At 42.3% G+C, this 15,729-nt stretch overlaps 1 protein-coding gene across 6 annotated transcripts in view; it reads right to left on the reverse strand.

Moving 5' to 3' along the window:
* DCLK1 (doublecortin like kinase 1) overlaps positions 1–12,724 on the reverse strand; it is a 363,288-nt gene extending 350,564 nt beyond the window's left edge. For 4 of the 6 annotated variants that reach the window (NM_001330071.2, NM_004734.5, XM_017020847.2 and 1 more), the window contains exons 1-2: positions 11,899–12,167; positions 6,547–6,941 (exon numbers count right to left, since the gene is read on the reverse strand). In NM_001330071.2, the coding sequence (NP_001317000.1) occupies positions 6,547–6,922 (376 nt within the window). In that variant the 5' untranslated portion in view covers positions 6,923–6,941; positions 11,899–12,167. Of the gene's footprint in view, positions 1–6,546; positions 6,942–11,898; positions 12,168–12,554 lie in introns of those variants that run through there. The other 2 variants (NM_001330072.2, XM_047430767.1) reach the window with 1 other exon arrangement.
* Between the last annotated feature and the right edge of the window lie 3,005 nt (positions 12,725–15,729).

Raw genomic sequence — 15,729 nt, forward strand, 5'->3', positions numbered from 1 at the left:
AGAAAGATCTGATTTAGGAGTAATAGGCCTTAAAAGAGTGGTTAAAATAATGTCAGTTGATGAGATCACAGTGGATGATCCAAAGACAGGAAAATGGAGGACAGTAATGTTTAGAAATTTGGAAAGTAAAGAGGGAAAAGAAAATCACCATTAGAACACTATAGTAATAACTGCTATAGGCAAGATCCACCAATAAATGCCAAAATTCATGGGCAAAAGCTTAAGGAGAAACAAGATATTTACACAGCATCAAAGTTTCTTCCCGAAATATTAGTTACAAAGGGGAAAATTATAACTTTAGAGTGAATATACCTGACAGACACTGCCTTCACCAAATGATCACAGGTAACCAACAAGACATATCAACATCATGTACCCCCTGAAATGATGTACTGAGGACAAAACATGACTTCTGTGCATAACATCAATCTAATCATCAGACAAACCCAAACTGTGGGACATTCTACAAGATAACTGACTGGTATTCTTCAAACTGTCAAGGTCATTAAAGATAAGAAAAGACTGAAGAACCGTCATAGCTTCAAGGAGAAGCAGACACAACAACTAAATGCAATGTGTGATTCTGGAATGAAAAAAGGATATCAGTGGGGAAACGAAGGAAAGCCAAATGAGGCCTGTAGTTCAACTACTGTATTGTACCAAAGTTAACTTCTTAGTTTTGTTCATTGCACCATGATTGTGTGTGCTGTTCCATTACAGGAAGATGGGTGAAGGGTAAACAGGAACTTCCTATCTCTGTGATACTTGTATAAGTCCAAATTAATCTGAAAATATAATGTTAAAGAAATGAAGCAAATAGCCTGGGGGAAGAAAAGGTTAAACTGAATCCCTGTCTCACATATTATAACAATATGACTTCCATTAAAATATTTTTTAAGTGAAAACATAAACATACCACAAGAAAATGAGGAAAAATGGCTTTATGATCTCAGTGTACAAAGGACCCAAGAGGCATGAAAATCAAGCTATAAATAAAGAATAACACATTTGATTATATAATTGTTTTGTACATCTACACGGCAAAAAACACAATAAATGAAGTCACTAAAGAGAAATCTGGAAAAAATAGAGTCATGTGCCACAATATTTGGTTATAAGATTATAACACCATATTTTTATTGTACCTTTTCTATGTCTAGAGATGTTTAGATACACAAATACCATTGTGTTATAATTGTCTACAGTATTTAGTACAGTAACAAGCTGTACAGGTTTGTAGCCTAGGAACAATAGGCTATACCATATAGCCTAGGTGTGGAGGAGGCTACACCATCTATGTTTGTGTAAGTACACTCTATGATGTTCCCACAATGGCAAAATTGCCTAACAACACATTTCTCAGAACATATCCACACTATTAAATGACACATGACTGCCCTCTCAATCATTATTACAAAGAGTTAATATATTTAAAAGAAAAAAAATTCTACAAGTTAATAAAAACCCTAACCTGATAGGAAAATGATCATAAATGATGGAGAGGCAATGCACAGAAAATGAAATACAAATGCCCTTTAAACACATGAAAAGATGAAAATTATGTGAAAATTATATGAAAAACTGTATGAGAAGACATACAGTTTTCTTTTCTTAATGGGTTAGTTAATGGGAAACATCTGATTTCAAAACATCTTGTTGAGGATAGAGAAACGGCCACTTTCATACATAAGTGGTTGGAGTGTAAACTGAATCCACTTTTATGAAGGGGAATTTTGCAAATAGTGCTTAAAACTTTAATGCTTGTACCTCTCTACCCAACAATATTACTTCTAGGAATTTATCCTAAAGATATTCTCCTACATGACTGGAAAACATCTATCCAAGGATAGTCATCACACAACTGTCTGTAATAACAAATAATTGAACACAACCTAAAAGCATATTGATAAAAGACTGGTTAAATTAATGATGGTAACTTTGTATAAAGGAGTACTATGAAGTCAGTAAAAGAACACAGTAGTTTTGGATGTACCAGTATGGAAAGGTCTTCAGGATATATTGTTAAGTACACAAAGCAAGGTGCAGAACTGTTGGCATAAAAAGTTACCTTCTGGGCAAATTACAGTACTGCCCCACTTTATCCATGGTTTCAGTTACCTGCAGTCAACTGAGGTCCAAAAATATTACATGAAAAAATCCAGAAAGAGACAATTCAGGAGTTTTAAACTGCATGCAGTTCTGAGTAGTGTGATGAACTCTCACGCCATCTTGCTTCTTCCATCTCTATCACAAGAAGGGCAAGTACAGTACAAAAGGATGTTTTGAGAGAGACGCCACATTCACATAACTTTTATTATAGTATATTGTTATAATTGTTCCATTGTATTTGTTATTGTTGTTAATTTCTTGCCATGCCTAATTTATAAATTAAACTTTATCATATACCTTGCATCATATACATACCTTTATCATAGGTATGTATTCACAGGAAAAAAAGCACAGTATACACAGGGTTCAGTACTATTTGCAGTTTCAGGCAACCACTGGGTGTCATAGAACGTATTTCCTTCCAGGATAAGGGGGCATTGCTGTATATGTGTCCTTCACATGCACTGGTATCTCTGAGAGGACCCTCAAGAAACTAGTAGGCTGGGCACAGTGCCTCACGCCTGAAATCCCAGCATTTTGGGAGGCTGAGGTGGGTGGATGGCTTGAGCCCAGGAGTTTGAGACCAGCCTGGGAAACATGGCAAAACCCTGTTTTTTGTTTTTGCTTTTGTTTTTAAAGAAAGAAAAAAGAAAAGAAAAAGAAACTAGTAAAGTGGTCCCCTCTGAGGAATTTTAGGAAGAGCAAATTTTATATCTATTCAAAAATTAATTTTAAAAAATTCATTATAGCAAGGAGAGGCATAGAGAAAGCCAGTGAAATAGGGAAATAAAGTAGAGGATGCTCTATTAGGGAATAGGAAAAGATGGGTAACCCAGAGGCTGTGGTAGGAAAGAGATTCCCTAACTGTGGGGTGAAGCATGGGTTTAATCCTGAGAGGGGGATTATGATAGAAACTTGGAAAAAGCCCTTATGCAAACTGCAGCTCCAGAGTCAGGCAACGTCCATACAGGGTTAGTGAAAAGCCAAGGCATACATGAGAACCAAAGAAGAAGAGGGACTCATCTCTAATAGCGCAGATCTGATGAACAAATTCACTTACTTGTATCCAGAAGATTACATATCTACAGAGTTTTTATCTTAATGTTTAAAGAAAATGTTCTGGCCCTCTCACATGTACATTTTCATAAGATGTTAAAAGAAGGACAAATCAGTCAATCCATCAATGCTCCAGGTTTACATTACATCTTTCTCCTAAGAGTTCAAAGGCTTTAAATGTGACACCTTTATTTATCATCACAACATTTACCTACCTACAGTAGAATATAGATGGTGCAAAATTGGGGGAAATGAGGCCAAGTCTCAAGATGAATCACTTGCGGAAATAGGCCTGCAATTCAACTTTCCTTATTAAGCATCATGATTTTTTTAAAAAAACATATTAAGGCCATTTTGAAAGCAAACAAGAGTGTCACCTTTGGAATGCTCTTAAGTGTATGTGTGTGAATATGTGTGTATATACATACATATGTGCATAGGTGACACACATACAATCATAGACACACACATTCACACTGACTATATGATTTTGGCTCAGCTAAATACATACAGCTAGCTCTACCAACATGCTTAAACCACACTTAGGCATAATAATCCATAGATAAAAACAAAACAGTGACAGTGACCACAAGACTGTCATAGATAAAGAAATTCACAAATATTGTAATTCAGAATTTTTAGTCTGAGAGCAAGTGAGAAAGAGCAAGAAAATAACTATAAGTCCAATACACTTGCCACTGCACCCACTAAAAGGATTTAATTTAAAACTCAAACATCATCATATTGGAAGGGGAAATGAAAAGCTAATAACATGCACTGACGTTTACATAAAATTAGTATGTAAAGTCAGAGATATGAGCCTAATGATGAATATGAACCAACGGTTTGCATTTTAACAGACTAAGCAAAAAATGTAATTGACAAAGAGGCGAATCTAAATGAATTTCCAGCTATTTAAACACTAAGTGCAGCTGCATGCTAATTGTCAGTGTTATGAATTAGAAAAAAAATCTGTTTAAATGAAAATTCAAAAAATAAATGCAGCCAACATGGTGAACTCACACACTGTACCAAAGTTACCATTCATTCAATCAGATAATTTTTTTTTCCCAAAAAAGTCATTTTTAAACATCAGAATATTCAGTCGGCAGTTACTTCACATTGATTGAGGGGAAAAACTCAATATAGTAGTTGAATTCATAGCACACAGCATCTTAGAGGTAGTTATGAGCTCAAGCTTTGGCACTAGCCTTCCTGGGTTCAAATCCTAACTCTACCATTTCTTTCTTTGTGAGTTTGAGCAGATCATTTAACCACACTGTACCTTCCTTTTCTCACCTTAATATAAGGATAACAGTTCCCACCTCCTAGGATCATTGTGAGAATTAAATGTATTCATATATGCAGGGATTTGGCCAGTGCCTGGCACATGCTCAATAACTGAGAGCTATCATTATTACCTTCAGTCAAGACATCAGTCCCTCAGAGAAAGCATTATTTTGCAGTAAAAGACAAAGAAGATGGTGACAAGCATGCCATAATTTTGCTGGTCCCTAGATGTGAAGGGAGTACTGTCATCTACCACCTCCCAGACCCTCTCCTTGGTGGATGGGAGTCATTGGAGTATCTTCGGCCACTTCTAAGTAAAGATCATTTCTGGGTGGGAAACTGATTGAAGTACCCCAACCCCCATAGATGCTACACAAGTGACTCTGGAACAGAGTGAGGTGTCAACCCATGGCTGTCTTAGGATGTGCTTTGAGATCTTGCCATATTTTTCCCTACAGTACTACCGGCCCTCAGAGGGACGGCTTGTTGACTGGTCATGCACCTGACTTTGCGTATAACTTTTATCCAGATCCCCTAGACTATACCACCAAATGTTTCATTTAACCTTGGATTTCCAAAGGTCATGCAAAGGACAGGGCACAGAAATTAAAGCTGAAACAGTAAAATTTCATGTTAATTCTTCTCCTTTAATTTACTGGAAGTTCCACCCTCTGAATAGAAGGAAAAAGGCCAAGTCCACAGGCATGTTGGCAGCATGTCAAGTCACCGAAAAGGGATGTGAATTCCCACAAAATAAACACAGGCTCCTCTGCACGCTCTCAAGGCCAGTCACACTGTGATCAGGCTGGCATTTCTGCCAAGGGATGAAGGGAAGCAAAAAGGGAGAAGTCCCCAGCCTTGAATCACATACATACACTGGTTACAAAGCAGGACAAGAGGGCTCTGTCAGTGTGCGGTCAGGGGAGAGCAGCCCCCAACTCCAACGGGGCTGCAACGGGTGCTTCCTGCTACCTGCACAAGAGAGGGAGGGATTATATGGCATCCCTCCTGGACCCAGTTGAGTTACACGGCCTGAGCAAATAGTTCTGGAGTAAAAATGAACTCAAGGTGAAATCAAGCTCTTCCAACACTCCATCCAACCTCCCTTTCCCAGATTCTTTTGTGCCATCTACTTCTTCATCATCAGGGCCTTGAGATCTCAATTTCAGAAAAATCAACCCTCCAAAAAGGATCTGCTAGCTTTTTTTGCACCTTGGTATACATTTAATCCCAGTCTTTTTTCTCCAACTCATTTTAATTGGCGATGATTTCTAAGGCAATGACAGGCTTTATGCCCTGTTCAAACAGGGTCAGTCCTGAGGCAAGTGTAGCCCAGAGTCGGTGACCTTCTCTGCTTGCATAAGATACCAGGCTGCATCCGTGGACGCAAACAGTCCTATTTCCACATTAAATGTCTAAAACAGATAATGACTATTAACCTAAATTGGACTTAAAAAATTAAACTGAACAGATTAGTCCCTGCATATCCTCAAAAATCAGAGAAAGACAATAATCCTTTAAACTCAAAAGGAAGCATCGCAGTGGAACGAGCTGTCAGAAAACCTGTTTTGGTCCAGGGTCATCACTATCTTACCACGTAACCACCGACATGTCATTTGAATTTTCTGGTCCTTAGACTCCAAAGATAAAATTAATGGGTTTGATAGCTATCTAAGGTTCCTTTCAACTCTAAAATTTCATGATCCATTTGTCATTTTCAATTCAAGTACTTTCGGATATCGTGATAGCAAAAGTTTAATTTGCATTTAGAAACGAATATAAACTATGAGATTGAAGAGATAAAATGGACTTTTAAAATTAATGCAGCATGGGTATGAGAAAGAAAATAGAGAATGCTGTAGAATTAGGGACTTTTTCCCTTAGCACATTATTATAAGCTACCTGACAATACCATTAATTTTTTTTCCTTTTTACTCTACACAATAGCACATTCGTATGTCTGAAACTATAAGGATCACAGCCATAAGGCTGAATGTCAACTGTCAGAGGGCAAATGCGAATCGGCTACAACACTGGAAATCTGAGCCTGGAACCTGTAGGGTCACGTGGGGGTTATCTCACAGCGCTCACCTTCCACCAGTTGGTCCAGGCTGGAAATCTTCTTGAGCCCATCAATGGTGTAGATTGTTCTCACTCCCTGGGGCAAATTCACGTTATCCGACAGAGTTCGGGTCAAATCAGCCAGCAGGGCCTCAAAAGATCGGAACCGGTCTGGGGAGATGGCATACACAATCCCTTTGAAGTATCGATCTCCGTTTCGATAGAAACGAACTTTCTTGGCCTTCTTCTCGGAGCTGAGCGTCTGCAGCGTGCGGGTGCGGTAGAAGCTGCAGTGGGCGCTGTGCGTCGGGCTCGGCAGGCCGTTCACCCGCGACCCTCGGCTGTATCTCTGCGCCTTATCCCGCTCGTCGAAGTGCTCCAGCTCCATGTCTCTGCCGAAGGACATGATGGACTTCAAGTAGGACCTACGAGCCCCAGAAACAAAAGCAGACACACATATTGATGTAGGTTATATATATATATATATTTTTTTGTTTTTGTTTTTTTTATGTTAGGGACAGGGTCCTGCTCTGTCACCGGGCTGCAGTGAGATGGCACTCACTGAAGTACTCACTGAAGCCTCACACTCCTGGGCTCAAATGATCCTCCTGCATCAATCTCCCAGAGTATCCGGGACTACTACAGGTTACAGGTGCCTGCACCACGCCTGGTTAATTTCCTTCATTTTTTGTTCATTTGCTTGTTTTTAGTAGTAGTGATGAGGGTCTTGTTTTATTGTCCTGGCTGGTCTTGAATCCCTGGCCTCAAGTGATCCTCCCCCGCCCCCCAACCCCTTTGGCCTCCCAAAGTTTGGGGATGATGTTATTTTGAGATCATGATTTCAAAGGGTCTGCTTCAGAACAGCTGGGTGGAAATATTGCTTTAACTGATGACACATTTAATATGAGTTATCAAGTGGGACAGAAAGAGAAAGGGATGTGAATTCCCACAAAATAAACACAGGCTCCTCTGCACGCTGTCAGCAGAAGAGGCCGATCCCAGTGGAAACAGCTTATTAATCAGCCACAAATTTGTTAGAAGCAGCTCCTAGGTTGCCCATGGTTCATCAGGCTTCAAACAGATATTATTCCCAATAGACACAACAACTTTCCAAAGTATTGTCCTTCCTTACAAAAGAAGAAACTGAGGCACAGAAAAATTTCCCCTAAATTGCTCCAAGTAATACAGTTGAGAAATGCTTGTACCAGCAACTCTGTTCCAGGTTTCCCTGACTCCAAAGCCCACTGCTCCTTGCAGGGCAGAGGGCTAATCCTGGTAGCAGGAAGAAAATAAGCTCTCATATCATCATACAGTGAAAGAGAAGTAGCTATGGTGGGCTGGGACAGAAAGAGAGGGCAGGCAGCATAACAGTCAGATTGTAAAAGTTTTACATAATGTTTGTGTGCCCCATGGCCAGATGGAGAGCAAATTAAATCAATCTGTAGGTTGGACCAACTTAAAGAAGATTTTCCAACATATTCACACATTCAATATTTTTAAAAGCAAATTCACTATACTTCATTTACTTATATTTAGTACTTCAGAAAAGTTGAGTTTAAAAAAAGAAGAAAAAGGAAGAGAAGGAGGAGAAGGAAGAGGAACAACAAGAAAGGAAAAAATGTTTGGAAGTACATTTCTTGGTTCTTCCTTTCATTAAGACTATCTTTGTGATTGAAGAAATTGAGGCTTAAAGATGTCGATTTACACTTGACCCCATGCTAGCTGTGTAAGCTTGAAAAATCTACTTGCTCAGCATCTTTAAGCCTTGATTTCCTCAACCACAAAATGGGAATGAGAACAGTACCTACCTCACAGTCAGTATTAACTATTAAATAAATTCATGCACATGAAGTTCTTATCATAGTGTCTGACATGTGATAAGTACTAATTTTTTTATTAATAAAATCTGTTTTTGTGTTCCTGGCCCTGACACATAAAGAGCTAGCAGGAATAGAATCTTTCCTTTCTGGCAAGAGAGGCCCCTGCTTTCTTCCTGATCTCCATCTCATGACCTTTTGAAAGGTACATCTGTACCCCCTGGTCCCCACAGCAAGCTGACTGGAGGACCAGTTCATCCTTGCTGAGGGGTTGGTTGATAAAGGTTTGTGGAGCCTTGCAGGGGAATCTGTGGTTTAACAAGACAATCTAGAAAGTGGAAAGACCAAAGCATTCAAAGGAAAGACACTTTAATGACAAAATTTCAGGCATGTTGAAATAGAATATCAGGAAAATGGAAAATTTGGAGCAAGAACCTTACAAGCACTCCCCAAGTCCCACCATATTAGATGGACATCACCTTTCTGAAGGTCAGTGAACACTCACCAATGCACCACTGTCTCCCCAACCTTTCTTTGGCCCTCAGTAAACTGACCTCTGATCCATTCAGAGTGGCTAAAATTTCACACCTGAAAGCATGACTAGAGATTTGGTACTCCAGAAATGAAGTGAAAGAAAGCAATATTTACTGAAGGTCTAGGAGGTACCTGACACTATTACTCATCAACCAGTTGTATAATATGCTAAAAATTCTCTTCTAAACCTCATATTAATCCAACAAGGTAGGTAATATTATTAATATTCAGGTGAATATGGAATTTATCCAGGGTCCCAAAATTATAACTGAGGGGTTGAGATTTGAACCCAGATTTACTGTAACTCCAAAGCTGGTGTTTTCCATCCCTTGCTCCTTTGAAACTGGTTCCTCTTCAGCATGAGAAGCAGGATTTTGTAAGCCCTCACTCCTAACTAGCTCAGTGACCTTGGACAGGCCACATAACTGATCCAGACCTCGTCTGCACACAGAGGAAGCAGTGGTCAGCAGGCCTCTGATGTTGGTGATTCTATCTACCTGCTTATGGGTCTATTGCTGACCCCACTGAAGGTCTGGGGAGGGAGAAATGAAGTGTGATTTAAACCTGGAGTGTTAATGAGTTCAGTGTACTTTTTTCCCTCCAAATATGAAAACTATTTCTTGCCTCTTAATAACTCATAGTAGTCAGAATTTGCATTTTTCAAAAACAGTTATATATAGGCAGCTCTGAACTGGTTTCATTGATTTTGATGTTAGATAACTTTAAAACAATGATCCCTTGATATCCAGTCCTGTAGGCATTAGTTGTTAAACAGAACCAATTTTTGTCCAGGATATTGGTAACTGCTCTTACTTTTTAATTTATATGGTTTTAAAGTGAGCTCTCTTGTCTTCTAAAAGGGAGTGTGTCTTGGGGGTGGAGTGGAAGACACTCCCAGTACTCACACCAACTCACTAAGTTCTTCAACATTTTGTAAATTATAAAGGCCAAACTCACTTTTGAAGTTTGTGTTTTATTCTTAAAGGCAGTGATCATTCTCCCAACACTAGGAGTTTGGGGATTTCCTTCCAAATTGATATAAACTAAAAGAAAACAAGCAGGGCCATAGGGAAGGATGGCACAGTTCTGTTACCAGAAAGAGTGCACATCGAATTCTCAGTGACTGACAATTGGCAAAGGCCAAATAATTTGGCAATAGTTAGAATTCCCTGGGGGAACGGGCTTTTAGGACCAAGAATTCCCACACCAGATGAAAAAAGAAGAAAAGAACAATTTAAAATAGAAAAAAGGTTTACTTTGTTTCATTTTATTTGCATATTTCCTCAAACTGGATCACAGGTTCATCCAGGGCAGGGCTACACCTTTTACTTCCCTTCCCTGAATCTGTCCAAAAGTGGGCAATGGTGTCGACAAAAGAAACCATACTCAGAGTGAAATCATTTTCAAGGCTACAGCTACCTCTAAATGGAGCACACTCCACACCCTAGTGTGCTGGTAATTATTCGTGGCAACAAAATAGGTGTTCTTTCCCTCACCTTGGCTTAGTCATACATTTGAACCATGCATGAGCTTCTGAAGATCCACTGGCCTTCCACAGGTTTACACTTTCTGCACAGGAAGGCTGCGAGAACACACAGCTCAATGTTCAGAGACCATAGGTGGCCAAGGGCCTGAGTGCACATGTGCAGTGGCACCAGGATGGTAACCACAGCACCTCAGCCACAGCGACCACAGACACTGGAGGTAAGAAGGGCCACTGGCTCTCATCAGAGCTTTTCCTATAAATCCTGCCATTTCAAGAAACCAACATCCCTGATTGTTCTCGGTGGGATTTCTCACCATTTTGAGGAATCTATGTTCATCCTTCTCTAGATGAGCACATGGTTCTTGTTTCAGAAATTTACACACATATATACCAAGAAAAAAATGGCATAAATGCTACCACATCTAAATAGATGCTGGACCTGGAAGTCCCAAGGCATATTTTAACCGTGGGATTAGGATTCAGGTGGACTGGCATGAAATAAAACGCACACATACCTTCCAGGCCCGTGCACCACCACGGACGTAGACATCACAGGGTGTGTGCATATCTTTTATAATTTTCCTCTATATGACCTCTCTTAAAAAATCCCTTCTGACCTGCATCCATGTGACATTTCATACTTAAAACGCTGTCCTACTTTCCTTTCCCACTGAAAGGCAATATATTTAGGAACAGTCATAAAATGTATTCACGGAACAGCCTGCAGTGTGGTCGCTGAACGTGTGTGCACCGTGCCTGGACACACTCACAGGTGCAGCAGAGAGGGAGCCGGTTTGAATGAAACCTTTCATCTTCTCTCTCACCGACCAAGCATCTCCTTGCCAAATCCAGGAGCAATTCCGCGCAAACCTGGTTTTCAAAAGCAGCCTCTTTTGTGGGGCATTGCGGGGCTGTGCGTGCGCTCCCACTAGGAGGAAAAAATGCCATTTCCTCTCCGCAAGCTTTTAGCACTGCAGGTACTAATTTGAACATGAGGCAGCCTCGCTGTCCCTGAAGGAACTTGAGACCCTGCAAACGTACTTGCAACACCCACGCTGCAGCCACCACCACGCACGAATCGACCCCATCCACAAGCACACATCACTGGCCCGGGCACACGGAAAAGCACACACACAATAAGAGGCCGGGCCCGGCCACTCCTTCCTTGGTTCCCGCTCCGCAGCCAGTTCTGACAATGACAAGCACCTCTCCCAGCTCCTCCGCCCTGGCTCTCCATCTCCACTAACAACGCGAAAAGCCTGGGAGGGCCCGCTCGCCTGACTCCAGGTTTAAAGCCCCATGGCACCAAACAAAAGAGGCAGGTGCCAGCAGCCCCGGGGCCGCCCGCACGCAACGCCCCCGGGTCGGGCCAGGCTGGCCAGGGCAGGGCGGCCGCCTTTCGAGGAACTGCGGGCGGGGCGGCGGGGCCAAGCTGAGCGCCCGCCCTGCCCTCGGCGCCCCGCGGCTGCGGGCGGAGCGGGCTCTGCGGAGTCCCCCGGCCGCCCTCCCCGCAGCTCCCGTCCCCAGGGAAGGCAAACCACGCACCGGTCCGCGGAGAGACGCCGCCGGGGGTCTTTGTGGCCGCGCTGGGGGCCGCCTCCTGGTGCTGTCCTCGCCGGGCTGGGCGCGGCCGGGGCTGCGGGGCTGCAGGGCTGGGGGGCGGCGGCGGGGCCGGGCTGGGCGGCAGCAGCTGCTGGAGCGCGGCGCCTCGGTTGCGGCCACTAGTGCAGGGATGTGCCTCGGCCCGTCCTCATTGAAATGCGGCGCTTCGCACAGCCTCACTCCAGCCTCTCTCTCCAGAGGAGGGCGGCGGCGGCGGCGGCGGCGGGCGCGCTCCCTTTTCTTGTCTCACTCGCTCACACGCCCTCCCGTCTCCCTCCTCCTCCTCCTCCTCCGCGTGCGCGCCCCGTCGCCCCCGCCCTTCTTGGCAGGGCGCACCCACCACGGCTGCGCCCCAGGTCCTCCTCCCTCCCAGCGCCCTCTTCCCACCGCAGCAACCTCGGTGCATCTGGCTTGACTACACCCCTAAACCTCCCTAGTCCCCACAAGTAGTCTTTGGGAGATGGGGGCAGATCAGATGGTGGAAGAGAACGTGGACAGGGCTGAGTCTGAGCCAGGAAGTGTGCAAGGCACAGAGGTGATATGGCCGAGAGATGAGGCCCCCACCGTCGGGGGAGGGAAGGAGGTACCCACACTCATACCTTTTGATGTGACCTCACGGTCTGACACCTTTCCCAGGGTATGGAAGCCAGTGGATCACCTTCTCATCCTTTTTGCCCGGGATGCACCCACGCAGTGCCTCTTCGGATGACCAACCCTCCCAAGCTATGCACTCTGGTGCCCCCCACATTGGGAAGAGCTGGATCTGTTCATGGATCCCACCCATCATCTCCACTTAACCCCAAGACATGAGTCACTCTTGGAATAGTGACCTCTGCTTAGAGTCAAATATGTTCCAAAGGGCCCTTGAGAACTGAAGGGCCAGGTTTCACTGCTGGACACTTTGTGGCTGCCAAGGCTGGGTCTGCGGTGGAAAGCCCCATGAGCTCATGCGAGCCTCTCCTCCCAGAGGGGGAATGTTCTCCTAGCCCAGGCTGTTCACAGCTTCCTCCAGTCTTTGCACAAAAGTCCAGGGAGTGGGAGCAGCTCCCAGATTTCGGTGAAATCTTAGACTGGCTCAGTACGCAGCCTGAATTTTGATCCAGTTAATCTGACTTTCAATCCTGTCGTCCACAACCTGTGTTTGTCCCAAATACACATGAGTATACAAAATACACATAAGTATTTTTCTCTCTTCCTGAGCCTACACCTTTCAATGGAACATTAAAATTTTATTTTTCTCTTGCCCATTGATCCCAGTTATGTGTTTGACTACTTATTATTAAAAAGTTCTATTCTGAAATACTTTCCAAGTATGATGTAAATGTTAAATAATTACCATTTGTTTTAAAACACAGCTCAAATGAGATCCATGCTACATATTCCACAAGTGATGCGATATTTATTTTTGAACTATTTAATAGCCCAGAGATGAGAGTACAGTGAACTCACCAAATTAACTAAATGCAAAGTAGTAAGCCTATTCTTTCACATTCTGAGGCAAAATGAGAGCCATAGGGGTAAATTAAGAGAAAGGAAGAAGCCAAGTACATCTTCTGGAGAACAGAAATCAGAGCTTCTTTTTATCTTGCCAATGACAAATGCCAAGTGATTTCTTCCAAAATGCTAAGCCAAGAAATAAATTTCATCTCTTAACCCCTATGGATATTCTACTAGGGTCATTTCTTAAGAGCTTTAAGTAACTCACCATCATCTTACCTCTTCCTAGCTGTTGTACCTAGCACACACAGATAATGTGTTCAGAGAATCACCTTGGTGTTTGACTCTCTCAGTAGCAAAGTGCTCTCACTAGAAATAGTTGGGCATCATTAGCTCTTTAAGGAAACCAGGGGGCAACTGATAATTAAGTAGATGAAGACATTAAATAGTATACATTGGCCCTACAGTATGGTCATATCATTTAGTCCAGGACAGCAGGCTGGTACTAAAGTTCATTCCAGGGCAGCTTAAGCATTTGGCAAATCTAATTTATATTCAACAATAATTCCTTATTGAAATGAAATCTAACTAGAAAACTCCTAATTCAAGTAATTTTCAAAAACGAATGCTACTTCCTTTATATTACTAAGATATTGATCAAAGAAGTGAATGGAACTAATACATCCTTTCCCCCAGGATCATCTGAAAGTATTGGAGATCTCATTCTAGCTCCCAAAAGCAAATGCTATTTAAGCTGTACCCCAACTACCGCCCCAAGCAGACACAGCTCTATATCCTACAGGTTGAAAATGACTAGGCCTCAACTCTCTCAGTGGCTCCCATTAATTTAGTGCTTGCTTTTTGCCATGCTGGGGGCTTTCATACATTTTCTTACTTCATTCTCATAAGAACCATGCAAGGTAGGCATTGGCATTATTATCCTCATCTTACAGATGAAGGAATTTAGACATAGAGAGGTTACATCATTTGCCCACAGTCATGTAGCTTAAAAATGTCAAGCCCAACTTCAATATTTAAAATCGGTATGTTTTAAAATTCAAGTCAGTTTTTCAATTGCTAAGGCCATATGCTTATAAAGCAATACCAAATTCTAGTGCAAAGTGTAATCTTTTTTGGAAAATGCAGTCTTTTAATCAAAGAGCTTATTACTTCATAACAGAGAGTTAACTCCTTGCTATCATGAACACTGCTTCTTTTAGTGATGGATCCCCTCAAATGTGTCTTTGGACTAAACTTCTCATGAGGACATTTGCACTTTAACCTCTGGCAACGAAGAGGATGGATAATCTTATCTAAGTGTGCTTGTCTTCCTGAATGTAAGGTTTTAGTGCAAACCAGGAAAGAGACAGAGAACCATTATTCTTCGGAATAATACTTTATAATTCACCATGTATCTTTTTTCAGGTTCTTTTCATTGGCTTCTTCATAAACAATATGCTTAATCATGTAGATGCGAGTAGAACTGTAGAATGAGAATATGAGCAGGAAGAGATACACTTCCTGTTTTTCCCTCTAGGAGGAAGAATTTGCTCTGGCTCATTCATAATCTCTCCTCTGTGGCTATGGGCATATAGTGCTCCTGGGTTGGGAGACTGTGTATATGTAGTGGCTGCCACAATTGTGAGAAGCAGCTTTACAGAACATAATCGTCAGTCTGATTTTCCTTTGTATTTCTTTTCTTCTGAAGGCTCTGTATGGCATTTCCTGATAGTTTGTCTAATTCCCTCTAATTACAGAGAACATACTTCTGGCTTCTACTAGAATCACAGAAACTCGGTGATGTCAGACCTTGGCAGAAGCCTATCAATTTTTACCCAGTGCATGAATTCCCTCCACAACAAGTTGTCTTCCAGCCTCCATTCTGTTGCGTCTGTGGCAAAAGTGAAGAGGAATAAGATTATCCCTTTGAGTGTTAGGATAGATCATGGAATTCTAGACACAGTAAATGAGATCTTTAAAAATAATTGTTTTAACTGGCTGTTTACCTTTGGTTTGGCCCTCCAAACATGCTGAGGTCCAAACTACATGAGATTCTGGACCTACACAGAGGAAGAAAGGCTCCTACTACTCTCATAGAACCTCTATAAACTAGCAGAGAGCTTCTGAAAGCTCTTTTCTTCGTTTCCTGCCTAAATGTAATTTGCTTTAGTAAAGGGGAACTCTGCACAGCCCACTCCCCTGCTGGACAGCTCCTCAAATTCAACTAAGATCCACTTCCCTGGAATTTTCCTGTGTACCCTGGGTCTACCCTTTAGACCTGTGGAGAACAAATCAAATGGTCCTGGCTTTTGCTTGACAGTCTCATTACTTTCTCCC

This window comes from Homo sapiens, chromosome 13, assembly GCF_000001405.40.
Source record: "Homo sapiens chromosome 13, GRCh38.p14 Primary Assembly".
Classification (NCBI taxonomy): domain Eukaryota; kingdom Metazoa; phylum Chordata; class Mammalia; order Primates; family Hominidae; genus Homo; species Homo sapiens.